Source organism: Homo sapiens, chromosome 5 (genome assembly GCF_000001405.40).
Source record: "Homo sapiens chromosome 5, GRCh38.p14 Primary Assembly".
Taxonomy (NCBI): domain Eukaryota; kingdom Metazoa; phylum Chordata; class Mammalia; order Primates; family Hominidae; genus Homo; species Homo sapiens.
The window spans coordinates 160089626-160116366 of record NC_000005.10 but is presented as its reverse complement, the minus strand read 5'-3'; the positions used below and the strand labels follow the sequence as shown (position 1 = coordinate 160116366).

General features: G+C 41.1%; 1 protein-coding gene across 15 annotated transcripts in view, besides 3 other annotated features; it reads left to right on the top strand.

Moving 5' to 3' along the window:
* The window catches only part of PWWP2A (PWWP domain containing 2A), a 75135-nt gene that overhangs the window by 3084 nt on the left and 45310 nt on the right, over positions 1 to 26741 (top strand). For 5 of the 15 annotated variants that reach the window (XR_007058578.1, NR_146216.2, XM_011534424.4 and 2 more), the window contains exon 2: positions 22302 to 23266. Coding sequence is in view for 10 of the 15 variants with exons in the window: in XM_011534424.4 (XP_011532726.1) it covers positions 22302 to 23266 (965 nt within the window). In the remaining 5 variants the exon portion in view is untranslated. Of the gene's footprint in view, positions 1 to 396; positions 800 to 2388; positions 2980 to 7752; positions 7823 to 10619; positions 10739 to 22301; positions 25029 to 26741 lie in introns of those variants that run through there. The other 10 variants (NR_146217.2, NM_001349735.2, NM_001349733.2 and 7 more) reach the window with 7 other exon arrangements.
* Positions 10348 to 10548: a silencer, noted in NCBI's record as "peak5558 fragment used in MPRA reporter construct". NCBI's record gives its function as "represses an SCP1 promoter by STARR-seq MPRAs in K562 erythroleukemia cells {active_cell/tissue: K562}" and the evidence as "EXISTENCE:reporter gene assay evidence [ECO:0000049][PMID:32103011]".
* Positions 22627 to 22786: an enhancer, noted in NCBI's record as "active region_23555". NCBI's record gives its function as "activates an Ori minimal core promoter by ATAC-STARR-seq in GM12878 lymphoblastoid cells {active_cell/tissue: GM12878}" and the evidence as "EXISTENCE:reporter gene assay evidence [ECO:0000049][PMID:35858748]".
* Positions 22867 to 22916: an enhancer, noted in NCBI's record as "active region_23554". NCBI's record gives its function as "activates an Ori minimal core promoter by ATAC-STARR-seq in GM12878 lymphoblastoid cells {active_cell/tissue: GM12878}" and the evidence as "EXISTENCE:reporter gene assay evidence [ECO:0000049][PMID:35858748]".

The window sequence follows — 26741 nt, the reverse complement described above, 5'->3', positions numbered from 1 at the left end:
CTCTTGCCTCAGCCTCCGGAGTAGCTGGGATTACAGGGGCCCAGCACTTTGGGAGGCCAAGGCAGGCAGATCACTTGAGCGCAGGAGTTCCAGAGGATCCTGGGCAACATGGTGAAACCCTGTCTCTACGAAAAAAATATAAAACTTAGCTGGGCGTGGTGGCTTGTGCCTGTGGTCCCAGCTACTTGGGAGGCTGAGGTGGGAGAATCTCTTGAGCCCTGGAGGTGGAGGTTACAGTAGCTAAGATCACACAGTCCAGCCTGGGTGACAGAATGAGACCCTGTCTTAAAAAAAATTGTGGAAATGTTGAGGAAATAAAACACTAAAATTTAGCAATTCAAGGAATTATTATTGGACTAATGATTGACTAGTTGGATTTCCTTTTTTTTTTTACAGTTTAATCTGGAAAAATGGACCTGCCAGTATATTTTGTAATTCGCACTTATGTTGATTGCACACTTTCCTGTGCAGTTTTGGGGTTTACTGATGGATCCAGGAGACAGTGTTTTTTTTTGTTTTTGTTTTTAGGAGGCAGGGTCTCGCTATGTTGCTCAGGCTGCAGTGCAGTGCTGGGATCGTAGCTCACTGCGTTCTTCCACCTCAGCTTCCCAAATAGCTGGGACTACAAGCGCATACCACCACGCCTGGCTAATTTTTTTTTTTTTCCTTTTTTTGAGATGGAGTCTCACTCTGTCACCCAGGCTGGAGTGCAGTGGCATGATCTCAGCTCAGTGCAACCTCCACCTCCTGGGTTCAAGTGAATCTCCTGCCTCAGCCTCCCGAGTAGCTGGGATTACAGGTGCCCGCCACCACGCCCGGCTAATTTTTGTATTTTTAGTAGAGACGGGGGTTTCACCATGTTGGTCAGGCTGGTCTCTAACTCCTGACCTCAGGTAATCTGCCTACCTCGGCGTCTCAAAGTGCTGGGATTATGGGCATGAGCCACCGTGCCCAGCCTGTTTTTGTATCTTTTGTAGAGATGAGGGTCTCACTGTGTTGCTCAGGCTGATCTCGTGCTCCTGGGCTCAAGCGATCCTCTGATTTTGGCCTCCCAAAATGCTGGGATTACAGGCATAAGCCATTGCAGCCAGCCAGCTATATTTTCATCCAAATGAAACCTTGAGATTGAGCACAGACATGATGACTGCCAGTCCGTTTCAGAGACTAGGCTGGAACTCAGGGCTACTGAGTTTGTGCTCTTTTTTTTTTTTTTTTTTTTTTTTTTTTTTGACAGAGTCTCCCTCTGTTACCCAGGCTGGAGTACAGTGACATGATCTCAGCTCTCTGCATCCTCTGCGCCCCACCGGGTTCAAGTGATTCTTCTGCCTCAGCCTCCTGAGTAGCTGGGACTACAGACACATGCCAGCACGCCTGGCTAATTTTTTGTATTTTTTAGTAGAGATGGGGTTTCACCATATTGGCCAGGCTGGTCTCGAACTCCTGACTTCGTGATCCGCCTCGGCCTCCCAGAGTGCTGGGATTATAGGCGTGAGCCACTGCACTCGGCCACACCTGGCTAATTTTAAAATTTTTTGTAGAGATGGGGGTCTTACCATGTTGCTCAGGCTGGTTGAACTCTTTTTTTTTTTTTTTTTTTTACCCTTGAGACAGAGTCTCGCTCTGTTGCCTAGGCTGGAGTGCAATGGCACAATCTCGGCTCACTGCAACCTCGGCCTCCTGGGTTTAAGTGATTGTTCCGCCTCAGCCTCCCAAGTAGCTGGGATTACAGGCATGCTCCACCACGCTGGGCAAATTTTTGTATTTTTGTGGAGACGGGGTTTTACTGTGTTGGCCAGGCTGGTCTTTGAATTCCTGACCTCAGGTGATCCGCCCGCCTTGGCCTCTGAAAAGTGCTGGGATTACAGGCATGAGCCACTGTGCCTGGCCTGAACTCTTTTTCTTTTTTTTGAGACAGTCTCGCTCTGTCACCCAGGCTGGAGTGCAGTAGTGCAATCTTGGCTCACTGCAACCTGAGCCTCCAGGGTTCAAGGGATTATAGTAGAGACGGAGTTTCGCCATGTTGGCCAGGCGCATCTTGAACTCCTGACCTCAAGTGATCCTCCTGCTTCGGCCTCCCAAAGTGCTGGGGATTACAGGCATGAGCCACCGCGCCAGGTCTGAACTCTTGGCCTCAAGCCATCCTCCCATTTCTACACTCCCAAAGTGTTGGGATTACAGGTGTGAGCCACTGCACTCAGCCAAGATACTTTAGACTCTACTAAGGCCATATTCATCAGTTGCTTTAAAGTAATTTGTATCTTATTTGGCCATTGAATTCAACCTCTAGGTAAAAATTAGGAGCTTTCTATGAGGGTCCATTATATGCTAGACATTGTACCTCATGCTTTAGTTTTTTTATAACCTTGGTAATGTTTTTAATTTACACAGGAGGAAATGGAGGCTCATTTAATTTGGCCAGTTAACTTGTAAGTGGCAAAGCAAGATTCAGATGTAGGTTGATCCCATTCTAAAACCTTTGCTTTTTCTACTTGCATATTAGAAAGCTAGTTGGGCTAAGTTTTAGTTTAAGCAGAAAGTAAAGAATGGCATGTTTCTGAAAGTTGCGTATTTCTGAAAGTTAGTGCTTCTCTTGATTTCATTGCCTCTGTGGAGATAATATAAAGGATATAGTTGTTGGAGCCAAGCAGATTCTTTAGTTGGGTAAAAGCTGTGAAACCTGGCTCCGGAGACTCCACTAGTTCCTTAGCTGAATACCGGGGAATACATAGTAAGCTCTGAAGTTTTAGTTCTTGCCTCCAATGAGATTAACATTTGGGAGACTAAATGTGTAATGTATTTGTGCTTTTCTTCAGTCTTCAAAAGGACTAGTTATTGCTTTTATAAATTTCTTCCATATTTTATGCTTGACGTTATGCATGGTACAGAAATGTCTTTGTAAAATTGGAAGAGCTGTCTACTGTGTGGAAAAGGTGTTTGAGTCTAGAACACAGGATTTAATATATGTGTGGATGACTAAGAGTCTGCTTTTGTAATCATTTGAAATGCTTCCCCTCCCTGTTGTATTATTATTTTTTGCATTATTTTCAGATTTATTTGGTTGGAGAACACATTTTTGAGGAGAATCATTCTGTGAAAAAAAAGGAGCTGGACATACATAACTCAAGAAAGAAAAGAAAGTGGTACTAAATAGTAAATTATTGACTGGACAGAGTGTTAGGTGCTTGGGCTTTTTTTCTTTTTTTTTTTTGACACAGAGTCTTGCTTCTGTCACCCAGGCTGGAGTGCAGTGGCGGGACTTCGGCTCACTGCAACCTCCATCTCCGTGGTTCAAGCAGTTCCCTGCCTCAGCCTCCTGAGTAGCTGGGATTACAGGCGCACGCCACCAAGCCTGGCTAATTTTTTTGTATTTTTAGTAGAGACAGTGTTTCATCATGTTGGCCAGACTGGTCTCGAACTCCTGACCTCAGGTAATCCTCCTCCTCGGCCTCCCAAAGTGTTGGGATTACAGGTGTGAGCCACCACTCCTGGCCTGGGCTTTAATTTCTAATATTGGTACTAGCCTCTCCTATTAGCACTGTGCCTTTGGGCAAATCATTGTGCCTTACTAAGCTCCATTTCCTAGTTCTTAGGCTAATTGATTTAGCTTTGGGCAGTTCACTTAGACACAAGCAAACAAACTTTACGCCTCAGTTTATATGTAAAATGAACAGAATGACCAGGTGGCCTGGTTTTCCCTGTACTACCCTGGTTTGTTATGTCCTCCTTTCTATCTTCTAGGTAGCTTTCTTTGGCCCATAAATGACACAGTAATTTTGAGGATATTTTTAGTATCTGGTTAAAATCAGATTTTGTTGAGCATTGTATTTACTTAACACTGGATGCCTGGCCGGGTGTGGTGGCTCATGCCTGTAATCTCAGCAAGTTGGGAGGCTGAGGTGGGTGGGTCACGTAAGGTCAGGAGTTCAAGACCATCCTGGCCAACATGTCAAAACCCTGTCTCTACTAAAAATACAAAAAATTATCTGGGTGTGGTGGCATGCACTTATAATCCCAGCTACTCAGGAGGCTGAGGCAGGAGAATTGCTTGAACCTGGGAGGTGGAGGCTGCAGTGAGCCGAGATCGCACCACTGCACTCTAGCCCGGATGACAGAGAGAGGCTCTTTCTAAAAAGAACTGGACGCCTTTAAGTGAAGCATGCATTCTCTAGCTTACTTTGTGCTCTTTTTTTCTTTCTTTTTTTTTCTTTTTTCTTTTTTTCCTTTTTTTTTTTTTTTTTTTGAGAAAGGGTCTTGCTCTGTCACCCAGGCCAGAATGCGGTGGCACACTCACAGTTCACTGCAGCCTCAACCTCCTGGGCTCAAGCAATCCTCCCACATCAGCCTCCCAAATAGCTGCAGCTACAGGTGCATGCCACCATGCCTGGCTAATTTGCGTCATTTTGGTGGAGACAGGGTTTCGCTTTGTTGCCCAGGCTCATCCGCCTGGGCCTCTCAAAGTGTTGGGATTACAGGTGTAAGCCACAGCACCTGGCCACTGTTGTTTTATACCCAGCTCTCTTAGTTTAAATTACCTGTCTGCTTCTGAGCTCATTAGCAACGTCTAATGACAATAGTCTAAATGCTAGCAGATGAGAATAATCAATTAACCCTACAAATTCAGTTTGGGTTTTCCTGTTCTCATTTTGTCCTTAATCTTAGCTTTTTAAATTTTGATATATAGTAAGCATTCCTTCAGGATTCTAAACTGTCTTAATGATTATTTTATTTGTTTAGAGATAGGGTCTCACTTTATCACAGAGACTGGAGTGCAGTCGTGTGATCATAGCTTACTGTAGCCTTGAACTCCTGGGTCCAAGTGATCCTCCCACCCCAGCCTCCCATGTACCTGGGACTAGAATCTCATGCCGCTGTGCCTGGCGAGTTAAGAAAAAAAAAAAGTGCCAGGCGCGGTGGCTCACGCCTGTAATACCAGCACTTTGGGAGGCCGAGGTGGGCAGATCACCTGACGTCAGGAGTTCAAGACCAGCCTGACCAATATGATGAAACCCTGTCACTACTAAAAATACAAAAATTAGCCGGGCGTAGTGGCATGTGCCTGTAATCCCAGCTACTTGGGAGGCTGAGACAGGAGAATCGCTTGAACCCGGGAGTTAGAGGTTGCAGTGAGCTGAGATCATGCTATTGCACTCCATCCTGGGCAACAAGAACAAAACTCTGTCTCAAAAAAATATATATATTTTTTGTAGAAACTGGGTCTCGCTATGTTGCCCAGGCTGGTTGCAACCTCCTGGCCTCAAGTGACTAGTAATCCTCCCTCCTTGCCCTCCCACAGTGGTAGGATTACAGGCATGAGCCACTGCACCCAGCCTAAGTGATTATTATAGGCAAAATAATAAGTCATTGGTGTGTCATTTTTTTTTTTTTTTTTTTTTTGAGACAGAGTCTTGCTCAGGTTCAAGTGATTTTCTTGTCTCAGCCTCCTGAGTAGCTGGGAGTACAGGCTTGTACCACCAAGCCCGGGTAATTTTTGTATTTTTAGTAGAGACGGATTTCATCATGTTGGCCAGGCTGGTTTCAAACTCCCGACCTCAGGTGATCTGCTTGCCTTGACCTCCCAAAATGATGGGATTACAGGCGTGAGCCACTGCACCCAGCCTTTTTGTTGAACTTTATTTTTTTATTTTATTTTATTTCATTTTGAGGTGGAGTTTCGCTCTTGTTGCCCAGGCTGGAGTGCAATGGCATGATGTCGGCTCACCGCAACCTCTGCCTCCTGGGTTCAAGTAATTCTCCTGCCTCAGCCTCCCGAGTAGCTGTGATTACAGGCATGCACCACCACACCTGGCTAATTTTGTATTTTTAGAAGAGACGGGGTTTCTCCATGTAGGTCAGGCTGGTCTTGAACTCCCGACCTTAGGTGATCCATCTGCCGCGGCCTCCCAAAGTGCTGGGATTACAGGCTTGAGCCACCACGTCCGGCCAGTGCAGATATCTAAAAAGATAAGGACTTTAAAAACAACAATCTTACTACCATTATTACACCTGAAATAATAGCAGTAATCCTTTTATATCATCAAATATTCAGTCACTGTTAAAATGTCAGACTGTTGGCCGGGCACCTTAGGAGGCTGAGGCAGGTGGATCCCTTGAAGGCAGGAGTTTGAGACCAGCCTGGCCAACATGGTGATACCCTATCTCTGCTATAAAAATTAAAAAAATTAGCCGGCTGTGGTGGTGTGTGCCTGTAATCCCAGCTACTCGGGAGGCTGAGGCAAGAAAATCACTGGAATCCGGGAGGCGGAGGCTGCAGTGAGCTGAGATTGTGCCATTGCACTCCAACCTGGGTGACAGAGCAAGACTCTATCTCAAAAAAAGAAAAAAAAAAAGGACTGTCAAAATTAATAGCTCAAGACTGTTCAGTTTTCAAATTAGGATCCAAATAAAGCTCATACATTGCAATTGGTTAATTTTCTTGTCCTTTTCATCTGTAGTTCTGCTGTTACTTTTATTCACTTGCAATTTACTGTTAATCCATGGACTTTGTAGAATTTTTTACATTCTGGATATATATATATATATATATTATTATATTATTTTATATATATATATATATATATATATATATATATATTTTTTTTTTTTTTTTTTCCCAGTTGCATCCTCTTGCATTTCCTTGTTTTAAAATAGTTATTGTCCCTCAGGAACAAACTGAAAGGGCAAGAACCACAGCCTTATCAAGGCCTCTCTTCAAAGCCTCTCCTTGTTTTGGGTCAGTAGAAATGATTATGGATGTCTTACCTGCTGGCAAACTTTTAGGTCTATCCCTTAAACACAGTCCTAAGTTTAGTATTGCAGACATAAGAAAATTGAACCACTCAAGACTATTTGCAAAGAGCAAAAGCCTTCAGCCCAGGCTTCTGAAGAGGTAGTTCTTCACTCCTCATAGTTATAAAGCCACCTGGAAATCCTTAAAAATCTTCTTGCAGAAGCTTTTAAATGGGGGGAAAAAAGTGAAAAATCCTGAAAGGTCTTTCTGAATCATTTTTTTTTTTTTTGGAGCAGGGGATGTGACAGGAAATAAGGAATCATGAAGTAAGGGTTTATGCTCGAAAATGCTTGTGTAGCTGGGTGCAGTGGATCATGACTGTAATCCTAGCATTTTGGGAGGCTGAGGTGGGTGGATCACTTGAGGCCAGGAGTTTGGGACCAGCCTGGCCAACATGGCGAAACCCCATCTCTACTAAAAATACAAAAATTAGCTGGGTGTGGTGGTGTGCACCTGTAATCCCAACTGTTCAGGAGGCTGAGGCACGAGAATTGCTTGAACCTGGGAGGCAGAGGTCGCAGTGAGCTGAGATTGTGCCACTGCACTCCAGCCTGGGTGACAGAGTGAGACTCTATCTGAAGACAAAAAATAAAAACTTGTGTGGCTGGGCATGGTGTCTCTTGCCTGTAATCCCAGCACTTTGGGAGACTGAGGCAGGAAGATCACATGAACCCTGAGGTTTGAACCAGCCTTGGCAACATACTGAGACCCCATCTCTTAAAAAAATGCTTGGGCATTTTAATTTTGTGGTATGTGCATATTAAAGGGGGTAGCTAGCTGTATTTCAGAATTGATGTTTTTACAAATACTGTGTGTGTGTACATGGGGGTACTGTTGGATTAAAAATAATTGATGATTTCCTTAGGAAACTTCAGTTTTCACTAAGTTCTTGAAAGCAATTTGTAGAAAATTTACGTGTTTTTTGAGGAAATATAAACCAAGACAATGATTTCTTTTCTTTACAGAGACCATGAAACGTATGGTGCAATAGCCCTACTTTTGGTGGGAAAAATATACAGCCATTCTGGTGAAGCAGTGAGTAGTGGTATCAGTAGCTTATACTACAGTGTCCAGGTTGAGAACTTAGGCCCTCAAGTAGTATGCTTGAATGATTGTGTTGTGGTACATTATAAGTAATATTTTTTTGGTGATTATTCTGCTTATATGCCAAGATGTCAATAAAGGCTTTACACAGTGAAACAGAGAAGAGGCAAGTGCCAGTCACTCCCTGACCCACACAGCTTTAGGACGCCCACTACTGTGCAGTATGTGTTGAGAGTGAGCTCTTCCATTGCATGTTGCATTAATATGATCTTTTTCAGAAGTGATTATTAGTTGGGCATTAAACCTGGTTTCATTCTGAGTCTAAAGAATCCTCCGGGCCACTCTGCCTATGGGGTAGCCCTGCTCTGTCTATGGAGAAGCTACTCTAGAAAAAAAAGAAAAAAAAAATAATCCTGTAACAAATTATGGAATTAAAAATAAAACTTAAAAATATATTTTATACACTAGATGTGTTATACACAAACTATGCTAGGCATGTTTTATTGGACTTGGGGTTTCCTTTTTTTTTATTTTTGAGATGGGTCTCGCTTTTGTCGCCCAGGCCAGAGTGCAATGGTGCAATCTTGGCTCACTGGAACCTCCGCCTTTCGGGTTCAAACAATTCTTGTGCCTCAGCCTTCCTAGTAGCTGGGATTTCAGGTGCCTGCCACCATATCCGGCTAATTTTTGTATTTTTAGTAGAGACAGAGTTTCACCATATTGGCCACGCTGCTCTTGGACTCCTGGCCTCGGCCTCCCAAAATGCTGGGATTACAGGCATGAGCCACCGCGCCTGGCCTGGACTTGGGGTTTCTGATGAGGTTTTCAACCTCTTACTGTAAATAAGACTGTACTTTACTGTGTACTATTTTAAAGTAAAGCTCTTGTTGAAACAAGGTCTAATCTTCCTAAGATCAGGTTTTCTGTGGGACTACTAAAGAGTTTATATATTATGTGCTTATCTTCACTGTAATGGCTGAGTTAATTTCATATTGATAAAAAATGAAAGATGTGTTAGTAGTTATTTTTGTCTATAAAGTGCATCATTATTTCCTGGTATTTATTTACCCTGTTTTCCCTAAATTCTTGAGTAAATTCAGACACACAGTACCAGAACAGAAGCTTGTTGTAGTGGCAGGTATTGCAAGAAAGTAATTGGAGATTAAGTTATATTCTAGGTAGATTTAATATAGAATGCCTTTACTAAACACTTTTGGGCAGTGGTTGTCAAAAGAAATGTGCATAGATTTCTGAGCTTCATTCCATCATTTTGCATTTTAAACAAAGTGATTCTGATACAGAAGATTCTTGGACCATATTTGGAGATAACTGATTTTTAGGGGGTAGTTTGCCAAAGTATTTAATAGAACAATCAATTTGTTAAGCCTGTTTTAAAGGTTCCCGGTTAAGGCCGGTCACGGTGGCTCATGCCTATAAATCCCAGCACTTTGGGAGGCCAAGGTGGGTGGCTCATTTGAGGCCAGGAGTTTGAGACCAGCCTGGCCAACATGGTGAAGCCCTGTATCTACTAAAAATACAAAAAAATTAGTTGAGCGTGGTGGTGTGTGCCTGTAATCCCAGCTACTTGGGAGGCTGAGACATGAGAATCACTTGAGCCTGGGAGGTGAAGGTTGCGTGAGCTGAGATCTCCCCACTGCACTCCAGCCTGGGTGAAAGAGTGAGACTCTGTCTCAAAAAAAAAAAAAAAAAAAAAAGGTTAATGGTTAGTTAACAATGAGACATAATTACAAACTAAGCAATGTATCATGTGGGGATGGGCAACTCGGGTGGCTGATCTAAATCCTTATTGTAGAGCTGGTGATTAGTCTTGCAAATGATTTCCTGAATCTATAAGTTTAAGCAGTCCATAATTTTCATTTCTTTACCCTTGAACCAATTTTATGTAGTTGACTTACTATAGAATAGTGGATTTTAGCCTTTTAAAACTCATAATCCCTATAATACTTAATTTCACTTTTTTGCATATTTCTTGTTTTTTTAATGTGTGAGGTTTTAAATTTTTGTTTATTTTTTCCTGCATATTTAATCTAAGAAGGTTGCCAAGTTTTACTTTCTGTGTTTTATAGTAGCTACTATGTATTTTCAATTTCTGTGCTAAGTCCTGTGCCAAATACTTTGTTTACATTGTTTCATTTAACTCTGGCAAATCTGCTGAAGTAAATTCTATTAATCCCCATTTCATAGATAGACACCAAGGCTCAGAGGTTACTTAAGCAAAATTGCCTAAAATTGTAAATGGTAGATAATAGTAGATATATTCAAGATGCCTTTTTGAATGATACAAAATTTTCCGGGGTTTGAAAACCTTGTTCTAATTAAAATGTACTTAACTATATTTCGCCATACCACTTAGTTTATAGTTTTGCTGGGGAGTTAACCTGGCAGTTAGAAATAAGAGTTCTCTGTTCCTCACTCAACCAGGCAACAGCTATTTGCTGTAAACATAAATTGCTCTTCAGTTCAATATAGTGAACTTTGGACATTTTTGGAAATCATATTTCTTCTACATGGTCCTGGGTCTTAAATTAGATAGCATGCTGTTTTGCCTTGATTGGCTTGGATTTGGCAGTAGTGAAACCTACTTGTTCATAAGAGGAAGTACAAATTGTCAGCTTTGAAGCCTGTTAAGCACAGGTCAGTGTTTAGTAAGTGCTGGATGACTGAATTTGAAAAGGATTTCAGACTAAAATAAGTTGTTAGGTAACCTTTCTTTGAGGAATTTTTTTTTTTTTTTTTTTTTGAGATGGCGTCTCATTCTGTCACCCAGTCTGGAGTGCAGTGGTGCGATCTTGGCTCACTGTAACCTCTTTCTTAATCTTTTTCTCTTTCTCTCATTAGCACCTGGGGCTGATGGCTTATGAGGAAATTGTTATAGTCTTTTAGTAGGTAAGTTTTGTCCCTATAGTCCCCTTCTGGCATGCTTGCTTTCTTTTTTCCATTTTTGTTCTTTTTTTTTTTTTTGAGATGGAGTCTCGCTCTGTCACCAGGCTGGAGTGCAGTGGCGCGATCTCGGCTCGCTGCAACCTCTGCCTCCCTGCAACCTCTGCCTCCCAGGTTCAGGCGATTCTCCTGCCTCAGCCTCCCGAGTAGCTGGGACTACAGGCGTGTGCCTCCGTGCCCGGCTAATTTTTTATATTTTTATTAGAGACAGGGTTTCACAGGATGGTCTCCATCTCCTGACCTTGTGATCCACTCTCCTCAGCCTCCCAAAATGCTGGGATTACAGCTGTGAGCCACCGCGCCCAGCCTGTTTTTTTTTTTTTTTTTTTTTTTTTGCCTTAGAGACAGAGTCTCTGTTGCTCAGGCTGGAGTGTAATGGCATGATCATAGCTTACTGCAGCCTTGAACTCCTGGTCTCAAGTGATCCTCCTGCCTCAGCCTTCTGAATAGCAGGGACTACAGGCCTGTGCCTCCACACCTGGCTAATTGTTTTATTTTTAGTAAATTGTTTTATTTTTAGTAACAACAATGTCTTGAACACCTAGGCTCAAACGATACTCCTGCTTTGGCCTCCAGAAATGCTTGGATTACAGGCGTGAGCCACAAGGCCTGGCCACCAGTATGCTTTCTAAACATTATTGAAAAGGGCTCATATTTGAGAATGTAAGGGAAAGGGAATTATTTTTGTGTTCTTCTTTGTAATTTTAAAATGATGGGATCAGACTAGAATAGCTGTGCTTTAAGTTTGTTTGTTTGTTTTTGTTTTTTTTGAGAGGGAGTCTCACTCTGTCGCCCAGGCTGGAATGCAGTGGCACGATCTTGGCTCACTGCAAACTCTGCCTCCTGGGTTCAGGCAATTCTCCTGCGCCAGCCTCATGAGTAGCTGGGATTACAGGCATCCACCATCACGCCTGGCTAATTTTTTTGTATTTTTAGTAGAAATGGGGTTTTGCCATGTTGGCCAGGCTGGTCTAGAACTCCTGACCTCAGGTGATCCACCCGCCTGAGCCTCCCAAAGTGCTAGGATTACAGGTGTGAGCCACTGTGCCTGGCCACGTTTTTAACAAAGTAATTTAGATACATTTAATTACATCACTAGACAGAAGACTTCACTAGCCTCTCTCTCTGTCCTTTTTTTTTTTTAGAGGCAAGGTCTTGCTCTGTCATCCCGCCTGGAGTGCAGTGGTGCCATCATGGCTCACTTCAGGCTTAACCTTCTGGGCTCAAGCGATCCTTTCACCTCAGCCTCCCAAGTAGCTGGGACCACAGGCGTGTGTCACTACACTCAGCTAATTTTTTGTAGAGGCAGGGTCTCCCTGTGTGGCCCAGGCTGATCTCAAAATTCCTGGCCTCAACCTCCTAAAGTGCTAGGATTACAGGCATGAGCCATTGCTATCACTCTCAGCCAGTCTCCTCTTTTTCTTTTTTCATTTCTTTTTTTTTTTTTTTTTTGAGACAGAGTCTCACTCTGTTGCCCAGGCTGGAGTGCAGTGGTGCATCCCGGGTCACTGCAACCTCCGCCTCCCAGGTTCACGCCATTACCCTGGCTCAGCCTCCTGAGTAGATGGGATTATGGATGCACACCGCCAGGCCCTTCTAATTTTTTTGTATTTGTAGTAGAGGTGGGGTTTCACCACGTTGGCCAGGCTGGTCTTGAACTCCTGGTCTCAAGTGATCCACCCACCTCGGCCTCCCAGAGTGTTGAGATTACAGGCATGAGCTACTGCTCCCAGCCAGCCTTCTTATTAAGAGACTGGTTATTCTCCGTCTATCATACTCTTAAACTGGCAGCCCTCTCCACTCAGGCACACTCACCAACATGCCCTCCTCTTTTTCTGCCAGATGGATCACCTTTATTTTATTGCTTATGTAAGCCTCTGAATCCTTAATAATATTCAGAATGGATAACTAGTCTTCACCATTTACCACTCCCTGTTTTGCTCTTCACTTAATCTGCTTGAGCCTTTCTAGGTCCCATTCCCTGCAAAGCCCATTTCCTGATCACTAATCCACGGTGATTTATTTCCTTCCGAAGACTGTAACCTCATTTGGCATTGACTGGTACATTCTGGTCTCACCTACTGAAGCTGTGTCCTAGGGCTGAGACTGTTTTATACTATCAGACCAGTTAGCATACTTGTTTTTTAAACATTTTATTTATTTTTAAGAGATGGGGGTCTCACTGTGTTTCATATAGACTTATGCTTAGTGATAATTGAGGTGAATTTGCTGGCATTTACCACTTAAGTTGGATAGATTTTCTTTTTTGTGTGCTTTCTTTGCATAGAAGTATTGGTGGAACTAAGTAAACTGAATTCATGCTTTTAAAAAACACTTTTTTAGCTTCTTATTTTTAGATAGTTTGAAACATAGCAGAGAATTCTTGGAAACTCTTTCTAGAGTCACTCATTTGTAACATTTTGCCACATTTAATTTGTCATTCTCTATGTAAATAAATTTGTTTCCTGAACTGTTTGAGACTGAGTTGAAGACATCATTCTCCTTTACTTATGCTGGAGCATTTCTTTTCTAAGATCAAAGGAAAACTATAGCCACAGTATAGTTTTCAAATTAAAGAAACATTGATAGAGTACTTTACTTTGTATCTCATGTTTCATTATTTCTTCAATTTTTCCGATAAAAATTTCCTTCAATGTGTTTTTTATTCTCTAGTAAATGATTATGTATTACATTTACTTGCAATATAATTATGTAGCAATTATGTAATAAGGACTGTTCCTCAATTTGGATTTGCCTGATATTTACTCCTGAGAGATTTAGGTTATGCAGGCAATGTTGTGTTCTCGGAACACCACATCTGCAGGCCCATGATAGCCATGTGCCCTCATTGGCAATGTGTACTTTGATTCTCCCTCAAGTTAGGGTGTTGTCCTGTTTCTCCGCTATGTAATTACTGTTTCCCTTGCACTAATAATTCTTTACCAATGTACTGCTTCTCATAAAACTTTCCCCTCTATATTTAGCTAGATATACATTTATTTTTTTCATTGTTTCATATTTTAATTTTTTACTTAATTATGAGATCAGGTCTCACTGTGTTGCCCAGGCTGGACTTAATTAAACTCCTGGCCTCAAGTGATCAGCCTCTTGATTAGCTAGTATTATAGGCTTGAGCCACCATGCCTGGCTGCATTTTTTTTTTTTTTTTTTTTTTTTGAGATGGAGTCTCGCCTGGTTGCCCAGGCTGGAGTGCAGTGGCATGATCTGTAAACTCGCCTCCTTGGTTCAAGTGATTCTCCTGCCTCAGCCTCCCAAGTAGCTGGGATTACAGGTGTCTGTCACCACCCCTGGGTAATTTTTTGTATTTTTAGTAGAGATGGGATTTCAGCATGTTGGCCAGGCTGGTCTTGAACTCCTGACCTCAGGTGATCCACCTGCCTGGCCTCCCAAAGTGTTACAAGCGTGAGCCATTACACCTGGCTGCATTTTTTTTTTTTTTTTTTGACACCAAGTTTCACTCTTATTGCCCAGGCTGGAGGGCAATGGTGTGATCTTGGCCCACTGCAACCTCTGCCTCCTGGATTCAAGTGATTCTCCTGCCTCAGTCTCCCAAGTAGCTGGGATTACAGGCGCATGCCACCACGCCCGGCTACTTTTTGTATGTTTAGTAGAGACTGGATTTTGCCATGTTGGCCAGGCTGGTCTCGAACTCCTGACTTCAGGTGATCACCTGCCTTGGCCTCCCAAAGTGCTGGGATTACAGGCATGAGCCCCAGTGGCCGGCCACGCATTTTTTTTTTTTTTTTTAATAGTTGGTTCTTTCTATGTTGCCCAGGATGGCCTCGAACTCGGGCTCAAGTGATGCTTCTGTTTTAGCCTCCTAAATACTTTGGACTATGGGCATGCCTGTCTTAGATGCACATTTTTAAAAGTTTTTTGAAATTGTAAAAAAAAAAATAACAAAATGTATTTTAACCATTAAGGATACAGTTCAATAGTGTTAAGTACATTCACATTGTTGTGAAACAGATCTCCGGAAGTTTTTCATCTTGCAAAACTAAAATTCAATAGTTTTTAAACAACAGCTTCCCATTTCTGCTTCTCCACCTGCTGTCAACCATTCTACTTTCTGCTTCTGTGAATTTGACTACTTTAGATACTTTTCATGTAAGTGGATTCATACAATATCTTTTTATGATTGGCTTACTTAATGTCTTCAAGACTCATTCATGTTGTAGCATGTGCCATGATTTCCTTTTTTTTTGAGACAGAGTCTCACTCTATCACCCTGGCTGGAGTGCAGTGGCGTGATCTCTTCTCACTGCAACCTCTGCCTCCTGGGTTCACACAATTTTTGTGCCTCAGCTTCCCCAGTAGCTGGGATTACAGGCATGCACCACCATGCCCACTAATTTTTGTATTTTTAGTAGAGACAGGGTTTCACCATGTTGGCCAGGCTGGTCTTGAACTCCTGGCCTCAAGCAGTCTGCCTGCTTCAGGCTCCCAGAGTGCTGGGATTACAGGTGTGAGCCACCACACCCAGCCTATGATTTCATCCTTTTTAAGACTGAAACTATTATTTTGTATAATATATTTGTATATCTATATATCTCTATCTGTCTAGCTCATACTTTGTCCTTTCATATGTCAGTAGACACTTGGGTTGCTTCCACCTTCCACCTTTTTGGCTAATATCTCTTTGAGATCCTGCTTTCAATTCTTTTGGATATGTACCCAGAAGTGGGATTGCTGGATTGTATCGTAATTCCATTTTTAACTTTTTGTAAAATTTTCTTTTGCATTTAGCTATTTCATTTTTTCTCAGGTTAAACTTTGACATCGTAACCAGTCTCACAAAGAGATGAAATATGAACCACAATAAGCTTGCTTCAGTTTTACCTCTTCCGTGATTTAGTTTGCTGCTGTTTGTAAGGCAAGGTAGTTTCTAAAATCATTGGCTCAAAATAAAATGAATCTGGATATTATTGTTTTTTTCTTTTTCCTTTTTCTGTAGAGACACCATCTGGCTATGTTGACCAGGCTGGTCGTGAACTCCTGGCCTGAAGCTATCCTCCTGTCTTGGCCTCCCAAAGTGCAGGGATTATAGGCATGAGCCACCATTCCTGCTCCTGGCCTTTTTTTGTTTTGTTTTTGAGACAGGGTCTCTGTCACCCAGGCTGGAGTGCATTGGTCCAATCATGGCTCAAGCAATCCTCCCACCTCAAGCCTCCTAAGTAGCTGTGACTACAGGCATGTGCCACCACGCCTAGCTAATTTTTATTTATTTATTTTTATTATTATTTTTTGAGAATGAAGTCTCACTCTGTCTCCCAGGCTGGAGTGCGTGCAGTGGTGCGATATTTTGACTCACTGCAGCCACCGTCTCCCAGGCTTAAACCGTTCTCCTGCCTGAGCCTCCCCAGTAGCTGGGACTATAGGTGTGCGCCACCATGCCTTGCTCATTTTTGTATTTTTAGTAGAGATGGGGTTTCACCATGTTAGCCAGGCTGGTCTCGAACTCCTGACCTCAGGTGATCCGCCTGCCTTGGCCTCCCAAAGTGCTGCGATTACAGGCGTGAGCCACTGTGCCCAGCAACACAAAGTAACTGTTAAACCCTAGTGTTCTTCCCCCTTAAAATTTTGGCACTGGCCAGGTGCAGTGGCTCACGCCTGTAATCCTAATACTTTGGGAGGCCAAGGAGGGCAGATCAGTTGAGGCCAAGAGTTTGAGACCAGCCTGGCCAACATGGCGAAACTCCATCTCTACTAAAAATACAAAAATTAGCGGGGCGTGGTGGCACACACCCACTTGGGAGGCCAAGGCATGAGAATTGCTTGAACCTGGGAGGTGGAGGTTGCAGTGAGCTGAAATCAGGCCACTGCGCTCTAGCCTGGGCAGCAGAGTGAGACTCTGTTTCCAAAAAAAAAAAAAAAATTTTTTTTTTGGCACTTACTCCTAAATTATTAAGATATTTATTTTAAAAGAATTTTGGGGCCGACTGTGGTGGCTCACACCTCTAATCCCAGCACTATGGAAGGCAGGCCGATTGCTTGAGCCCAGGAGTTCAAGACTACTCTGGGCGACATAGGGAGACCACGTCTCTATTAAAAAGAAATTTTCTTTTTGAATAGTATTACAGATTCACAGAAAGTTTTATTTTCAAGGAATTGCAGATTTGCAGACAGTTGCAGTATTTTTAATTAAGCCGTAATACCTGAATCGTTTTAGTTTAGAATCTTTGGGTAGTGGTTAAAGACTGAAAGTGGATAAGGGTTAGGAGTCACTAATACGTTAACACATGCCTTTATGCTGCACAAATTGGGTAGGGTATCTTATTACTCAACTCTTGGGAGTATTTGTAGAAAGTTATTTTGGAAAACTTAAAGCAAGGGATACCAGTCAGCCTTTTCAGCCTTTCACCTAAACACTTGTTCAATAAAATCTTGGTGAGCATTCACATGAGACGTAAATGTCTTCCCTTAGAAAAAGCTAAAGCAAAGGTGCTTGCTAAAATATCAGATTCCAGTTCCACTATAGGAAAGTTTTATGATTTATGTTTTGGGCAGGACTTAGGAATTTCCACTGCAAACACTCCGAGGAGTTGTGATGTGTTTTTTCACAGACTGTACTTGAAGAATTAGGGTTTTGTTTTGTTTTGTTTTTCTTTTTGAGGTGGAGTCTCGCCCTGTCACCCAGGCTGGAGTGCTGGAGTGCAGTGGCGTGATCTCAGCTCACTGCAACCTCGGCCTCCTGAGTAACTGGGATTACAGGCGTGCACCACCACACCTGGCTGATTTTTGTATTTTTAGTAGAGACGGGGTTTCACCATGTTGGTCAGGCTAGGAGAAATTAGGGTTTTTAAGGGACCATAGTTTTGTTTCTACTTTATATTCTTATTAAGTTTATAGTTTCATAGGTTAGTGGTTCTCAAACATTTTAGCCTACTTAGAAAATCTGTTTTACATCTGGATCCATATATCCTTATATACATGTGTGAAACAGATTCATTGCAGTTACAGATATTTACTTCTACTCTTAACTCTGATTTTATTTTAATCATAGTGTGACCCCTGAAATTGATTTCAAAATTAATGTCTCCATCCTTAGTTTGGTAACACTGCCCTAGGTGTTATCTGTGTAAGGGTGACAGCATGGTTACTGAAATGAAGCAAAGACAGACATGTGATCCCCATTTCTTCTTAAAGTGATTTATCTTTTTGGTCCTTTGAGGATGTTTTATTATTATTTTGAAATATTTTTCCGCTTTGCCAGGCATTCACTACCCACACACAATTACCATTTTTATTTCCCCTTTTTCCCCCTTATTGTAGTTTTCACTCATCATTACACAATTAGGTGCTTCTTCCCTATGTTACTAAAAGCATTTAACGCTTGAGTATTTTGTATGCTTATGTGGGAACAGCAGAGAATAAAAACAATCCAGTTGCGAAATATTAACATTCTTACTGAACTTCATAAAGATAAACATACCAGATTCCATTACTTGATATAAACAGCTATAAAATAATTGGCTGGGCCATACTTGCATTGAGAGTATAAATTAAAGACATGGGAAGGAGCCTAAATTCTAGCAAAATTGGCTGGTTGCAGTGGCTCACGCCTGTAATCCCAGCACTTTGGGAGGCTGAGGCTGGTGGATCACTTCAGGCCAGAAGTTCAAAACCAGCTTGGCCAACATAATGAAACCCCATCTACTAAAAATACAAAAATTAGCCAGGCGTGATGGCTCGCGTCTGTAATCCTAGCTGCTCAGGTGGCTGAGGCATGAGAATAGCTTGAACCCAGGAGGCGGTGGTTGCAGTGAGCCGAGATTGTGCCACTGCACTCCAGCCTGGGCGACAGTGAGAGTCTGTCTCAAAAAAACAAAACAACCGCCCCCCCCCCCAAAAAAAAAACCTCTAGTAAATTATTAGGTGTTTTTTGTTTTTGTATTTGTTTTATTTATTTTTATGTTATGTTATTTGAGACGGAGTCTCTCTCTGTTGCTAGGCTGGAGTGCAGTGGTGCGATCTCGGCTCACTGCGACTTTCACCTCCCGGGTTCAAGCGATTCTCCTGCCTCAGCCTCCCGAGTAGTTGGGACTACAGGCGCGTGTCACCACACCCAGCTAATTTTTGTATTTTTAGTAGAGACGGGGTTTCACCATGTTGGCCAGGCTGGTCTTGAACTCCTGACCTCAGGCCTCCCAAAGTGTTGGGATTACAGGCGTGAGCCACTGTGCCTGGCCTTTTTTTTTTTTTTTTTTTTTTTTTTTTGAGACAAAGGCTTACTCACTTGCTCAGGCTGGAGTGCGATAGCGCGAACATGGCTCACTGAAGCCTTGACCTCCCAGACTCAAGCAATCCTCCCACCTCAGCCTCCCAAGTAGCTGGGATCACAGGTACATACCCCCACACCAGGCTAATTTTTCCTATTTGTAGAAACACGGAGTCTTCCTATGTTGCCCAGGCTGGTCTCAAACTCCTGGGCTCAAGCAATTTGCCCACCTCACCCTCCCAAAGTGTTAGGATTGCAGACGTGAGCCACTGCATCAGGCTGTAAGTTACTAGTTTGAAAATAAGATTAAATCACTTACATGAAGCAAATTAAATAAAGTAAATATTAACCAAGGAAAATGGCTGCCGCGTATTCACCTATTGATCTTTATCTGAATCCTTTTAAGGTCAGAAATAGTGTTTCATTTTACACATGCAAAAATGAGTTTAGAGGATACAAACAGTTGATAAAAGACAGCTGTGAAACTTCACCTCAAACATTAAGATAAGTATGGTTTAGTTAGTCCTAATAAAAGGAAGGGAGCCAGGCATGGTGGCAGGTGCCTGTAGTCCCAACTACTTGGGAGGCTGAGATGAGAGGATTGCTTGAGTTCAGGAGGTTGATGCTGCAGCAATCCATGATTGCACCACTGCGTTCCAGCTTGAGTGACAGAGTGAGGCACCGTCTCTATAAAAAAATTTTATAAATCAGTAAGAGGAAGGGCACTTCTCTTCATTCAGGTATTGAAACGTGAACATGTGATGGGGGCAAAATTATGCCTTCTTACAAGTTAGAAAATGTTATTGTTAATGCAAGTAGTGATATCACATCAAATAAGTCACATTGTTTATGTTGGTTCTGCATTAAAACACAAGAAGCACCTCTTTTGTCCTGTCATCTTTTGAAAAAGTGGTTAATGAGCACCTATGTACTGTGTAAGAAAGGGTTAAATGCTTAAAGTTACTTTGAGTTAAGTAGTCAGGAAGCAAACACTTGGTTACCAGAAGTTAGAATGGAGAAAGCAACTTTCTGTGCAGTCTGATACAATAGGAGGTACCTTTCCTTTTTGGACTATCCGAGACCTAATCTTGTCTTACCGTAGGTAAAAAAAAAGCCTTTCCTTTTTATGTTTTGTAAGTATTTGCTGTAAGTTGTTGGTTTGTGGTAGCCAGACTAACAAAGAATTTTGGGAAAAAAGTATTCAGGTGCTAGAATAATACCTGGTGTATGCTGGCTCTTTGTAAATCCTGCCCACGTTTAGGTTTGTCCACAGCTGTTAGTACCTAATATCAAGATTTCTTCCTAGCAAAGGTATTCTGAACCTTTTTGGGAGCATAAGAACATTTCTGGCTGGACACGGTGGCTCACGTCTGTAATCCCAGCACTTTGGGAGGCTGAGGTGGGCAGACTGCTTGAGCTCAGGCATTCGCCTGGACAACATGGTGAAACCCTGTCTCTACAAAAAATACTAAAATTAGCCAGGCATGGTGACGTGTGTCTGTGGTCCCAGCTACTTGGGAGGCTGAGACGGGAGGATTGCTTGAGCCTAGGAGGTCGAGGCTGCAGTGAGCTGTGATGGTACCACTTGCACTGCAGCCTGGATGACAGAGTGAGATCTTGTCTTTAAAAAAAAAAAAAAAAAAAAAAAAGAACATTTCGGAGAATCTGAGCACTGAAGATTTGTAGTGTAGAAAATATAGACATATATAAAACACTGGCATCTAGTTTTGAAGGTTCCACGTGACTGACTACCTGAAGCCAATCTTTGGGTTTAGATCTAAGCCCCTTTGCCTTACAGGATTGGCATTACAGTTGTATTGTGTTAGATATTGTTGGAATCAAATAGTGCATATAGTCAACATGCTAACCTATATGCTGAAATTATTTGGTAGTGTGATTTGATTTTATGTGAAGAAAACTTAGTATAGCAAGTTTATTTTAAGGATCAGGTTCTTGATATTCAGCCCAGGCACGTTAAGCCACTGTTATTTCTAACTCTATTTATGAAATAAGGTTATTAGAAACTGAGAATTTTAAAGATTCGTATTAGATACCATGGTTTGCAAACAGAGTCTGGACCCGTAATGGAGTTTTCAAATCAGTTTAATGGGTCTGACTAGCCTTAAAGCAAATGAAGTAGGCCAGAGTAGAAAAGAAATTATGTATCACAAAATACAAGGTTAAGTACTTGGTGAAACTTTTGCTTAAGTGTGTGTATTTATGTATATATGGATGCATGTATACATTCATAAGTAGTCTTTTTTTTTTTTTTTTTTTTTTTTTTTTTTGAGACAGAGTCTTGCTCTGTTGCCCAGGCTGGAGTGCAGTGGTGTGATCTCAGCTCACTGCAAGCTCTGCCTCTTGGGTTCACGCCATTCTCCTGCCTCAGCCTCCCGAGTAGCTGGGACTACTGGCGCCTGCCACCATGCCCGGCGAATCTTTTTGTATTTTTAGTAGAGACGGGGTTTCACCGTGTTCGCCAGGATGGTCTCGATCTCCTGACCTCGTGATCTGCCCACCTCGGCCTCCCAAAGTGCTGGGATTACAGACATGAGCCACTGCACCCGGCCCATTCCTAAGTGTTTTTATTGGATTGCAATGCAAATATATTTCTTAATGTGAGATGATTTAAAAAGAAAGCCACAGCTCTGTAACTGTTTGCTTTGGAAGTAGTTTGAGTATCTGAGTTCTTGATATTTTTGTGTTTTGGGAGACAGAATAGGTAACTAGTTAGGATGCAAGAGTAAAAGAGCAACTTTCTTTGAATCTTCAGTGATTAACCAATAAAGTTGAGATGGGATTTTACTCATTAAGTAGTTTTGGATAGTTAAGGCTGAATTTGCTTTGTGGAGGTTTTGAAAGCTGTTATAACCAGAGGAAGAAATATATGTGTGTTTCACAAAGTTGTAGCTGCATTTACTGAAAATGTTGTATATGGTTCAGTGAATGTAATGTATGTGATGCTTAACATAAAGCTATCTGAGAAAACATTCTGATTCAAGACTGGAAATATCTACTTTAAGTATAGTCAACTATTCTGTCATTGCTTAGGGCAGCTGTTTGTTTTTACCAAAAATGTAGAACCTAAAGAAATGAAGGTCTTTGAACTTTTGGGGGAAGAGATAGTAGATTTTTGTAGTCTTGTTTTTTAATATGAAATAGTTTTCGGGAAAGGTTATATAAATAAGCATCAGATGTTGTTTACGTTTAAGAAATTGAATTATAGATGTTAACTTAATGTCTTCTTTTTTTCTTCCATTTCTTTCAAAGGTTTGGGCCCCATGGTATCCCTGTGACAGTATTTCCCAAAAGGGAATATAAGGATAAACCAGAAGCCATGCCGCTCCAAAGTAATACATTCCAAGAAGGGACAGAAGTCAAGTGTGAAGCAAATGGTGCTGTTCCCGATGACCCTTCTCCTGTCCCGCATCCCGAGCTGAGCTTGGCTGAAAGCCTGTGGACTTCCAAACCACCACCTCTCTTCCATGAAGGAGCACCTTATCCTCCCCCTTTGTTTATCAGGGACACATATAACCAATCAATACCTCAGCCACCTCCTCGGAAAATTAAGCGACCCAAACGAAAAATGTACAGGGAAGAACCCACTTCAATAATGAATGCTATTAAACTACGACCCAGGCAAGTTCTGTGTGATAAATGTAAAAACAGTGTTGTTGCTGAAAAAAAGGAAATTAGAAAAGGTAGTAGTGCAACTGACTCTTCTAAATATGAAGATAAAAAACGGAGAAATGAAAGTGTAACTACTGTGAACAAAAAACTGAAAACTGACCATAAAGTGGATGGGAAAAACCAAAATGAAAGCCAGAAAAGAAATGCTGTGGTTAAGGTTTCAAATATTGCTCACAGCAGAGGCAGAGTAGTAAAAGTTTCTGCTCAGGCAAATACATCAAAAGCTCAGTTAAGTACTAAAAAAGTTCTCCAGAGTAAGAACATGGATCATGCGAAAGCTCGGGAAGTGTTAAAAATTGCCAAAGAAAAGGCACAAAAGAAGCAAAATGAAACCTCTACTTCCAAAAATGCACATTCAAAAGTCCATTTCACACGTCGATATCAGAATCCTAGCTCAGGTTCCCTTCCACCCCGGGTTCGTTTAAAACCACAGAGGTACAGGAATGAAGAAAATGACTCTTCTCTGAAGACAGGACTTGAGAAAATGCGGAGTGGCAAGATGGCACCCAAGCCCCAGTCTCGCTGCACCTCTACCCGCTCAGCAGGTGAGGCCCCTTCAGAAAATCAGAGTCCCTCAAAAGGCCCTGAAGAGGCCAGCAGTGAGGTTCAGGACACAAATGAAGTGCATGTGCCTGGTGATCAGGATGAACCACAGACATTGGGCAAAAAGGGCAGCAAAAACAATATCTCTGTTTATATGACCCTAAATCAAAAGAAATCTGACTCTTCCAGTGCTTCAGTGTGTAGCATTGATAGCACAGATGATTTGAAATCTTCCAACTCTGAGTGTAGTTCTTCTGAAAGCTTTGATTTTCCTCCAGGCAGTATGCATGCACCTTCCACCTCCTCCACTTCCTCCTCTTCAAAGGAAGAGAAAAAGCTCAGTAATTCCTTGAAAATGAAAGTCTTTTCCAAAAACGTCTCTAAATGCGTCACACCAGATGGCAGGACCATATGTGTAGGGGACATTGTTTGGGCCAAGATATATGGCTTCCCTTGGTGGCCAGCCCGTATTCTTACTATAACTGTGAGCCGGAAAGATAACGGCCTTTTAGTCCGACAGGAGGCCCGTATTTCATGGTTTGGGTCTCCAACAACATCTTTCCTTGCTCTTTCACAACTCTCCCCCTTTTTAGAAAACTTCCAGTCACGCTTTAATAAGAAGAGAAAGGGCCTGTATCGCAAGGCTATCACAGAGGCAGCTAAGGCTGCCAAGCAGCTGACCCCCGAAGTGCGGGCTTTGTTGACACAGTTTGAAACGTGAACATGGGCAGTAAGGTAGGCAAGACCATTGGAAGTCACCACAGATTTTCTAGTCTAGTTAGGAATAATTTCTACAAAATAGCGTGGCCAGATTGGAGAGAGAAGTTGCACTCAGTTGGCTGGCTTTTTAATACTTACCTTATAGCCATTTTTAGACTGAGAGCTTAAACTGAACATATAATCAAATTTTGTGTTAAGGAAGTGAGATTTTAGCAGTATTTTTCAGTTTTGAAGTTCGAAACCATCCCAAGGCATAGGAGCCATAGCCTCAACTGAAATTGAATTTTTGTAGGGACTGTTAATTGCCATTTGTACCTAATACTGTATATATACATATATATACGTGTGTGTGTGTGTATATATATATATCCGTGTATGTATATATACACACATATATATGTATATATACACATATATATATATGAAATACAGCCTGTCACTGTGTGACACAGATTGCATATTTGGGATTGCAATAAGGGCTTGGTGAGCTGGGGGAATAGTGGATATTTAATGACTACTTGTTTTTTAAATAATGAACACTTAGCCTTTCTATGCGCATAATGGTGTAAAAGTTAGATGGTTAGGTGTTTGACAAACAGATGGTTGCAATTCAGTTACAGACTGGGGAAATAGCCCAGTGTTTGGGATTAAAACTGTCAAGACTGGATAGGTGTTAGTCATCACTGTCTTTCGTCCAGTGGGGATTTAATAAATACTTTCAAGCTTCTGGTTTGGGAGTTTAGATAGGTTTGATTTTGGATTTGTAAATAGTGATTGCTAAATTTGGTCAGATTTCTCCTGACTGGCTGTTCCTAAATTCTTAGGATATGTCCCAGTAAAATTATACTTTGTGAATTAATTGTCATATGTGTAATTGTTGCATTTTGGATGTACCTAATTTGATAATTAAAACAAAATAATTTCCGTTTAAGGTATCTGTTTGCAGGTCAGAAAATGAGAAAATGTAATTGTGTAATGCTCTGAAATGTAAAAAAAAAAAAAAAAACCAAAAAAAAGCTGTAAATAAAATCAACTAAATCCAAATTATTTGTGTGTGTTTCTCAAAAAGCTTTGAAAAATTTCAAGATGGTAGAAAATTATTCTTTGTAAGAGTGTTTAGAAGAGATGAAAAATCAAACTTTTATTTTGCTATTTGCCCTATCAGGGAATATATTATCTGAGATAAGAAAACTTCAAATAATGAGAGATGAATCAGTATATTCTCAAAATAAGATTTTGTAGTATAGAGGTTTGATAATGCTTTTAGATTTGATATCCCCTTCCTGCCAATTTCTCATAAATGTGTGAATTTTAATTTTTAGTCTTAATATTTCATCACATGCTTCCTTTTTTTACATTCGGGTAATTACAACCGGTCTCTTCTGTTTGGTTTTCTGCCTCATGTATCACTGCTTTTGGGGCTAGTAACTTAGCTTACTATTTTTCTACATGGTCCATCTGTCCCTAAGATTTGATTTCTTATTTTCCATTTTTAGCTTTGTATTAGTAGTGAGAAATATATCTGATTGGCTGTGGAGGCAAGTTTATCTCAAGATTTTTAAAGTTGCTTTCATACTTTGTGTCTTAACTTTTGGATATCTAATTTCAATACTTTTAGAAATTTAAAATTTAGCAGTTTTTTGTGGATTTCTAAATCCAATTTGAAGTAGTTACTATGGAACTCATAATGAAAAGATTAATGGAGATTGAAAATCAATAGTCTTGTCAGCTTTCTTAAGGTTATTGACTGATTGCGAATTTTTGCAGAAGCAAGTAGAATTTCTTATGGGGAACTCACTCAATGCTTTTTGATTATAATAAACACACATTTTGAAAACATGTTTCACTTGAGTAGAACATATTCTTTCCTGCAAACAGAAACAACTATACTTAAAAAAAAAATTCTTTGAAATTCACAGTGTGGTTGAGAAGTTATAAGGAACTATCCTAAAAGATTTTCCAAGTATTTGTTTCAGATTAATGAACTTGTTCAATCAGGTGTTTTTAAAAGTTTGAAATCTAAAGTTCAGAAAGACTTAAAAGTCATCAAAATATGTAATTCCAAGGCTTTGTGTAATGATCTGGGTGAGTTTTAACAGTAGTTTGAAGTAGACATTACTGATATGGTCAAGTGCTTGGTAAATGTGCTGTTGTGGCATAAACCAAATTGGATTTGTTTCAGAAGCCATGGGGAAAGAGAAGAAAAAAAAAACATGATTGTTGAATATAAAAATAACAATCAGTTTTGTAGAACACACCTTTGAGGAAAAGGTTGAGCATATCACAAATGATATGCCAAATGACCCCTTCGTTTTAAACTGGCAGTCTGGCATATTTCATTTGCAGTTTCAGTAGGGAAGCAAGTTTTAAAGAATCTCTCTAATCTTAAATGTGTATTCTAAACTCTAATAGCTGAATATTAAAAACTTTTATTCCAATGGAAATGTCTTAGATAAATTTGTCCAGTATCTACTGCAGATGGAGATAGAGTTGAATTGGGTAGTTGTAGCCACTTTATATTTCTCTTTGAAATGATAAAAGGCACTTATTCTTGATATGGAGATAACAGAAGTGGGTATTTTTTCCCCTTGGAGTGGGAGTAAACTGGCTTAGACCAAATCTGCGGCTTAAGTAAGAGTCGTGGCTAAAACAAAGGATTGGCCAGGGGAGAAACCAAGTGAAGGAAGAGTTGTGAAAGCTAAGAATGTCTTTATTTCTGGAAATTCTCAGAAATGTAAAGCATCAGAGTATTTTTCC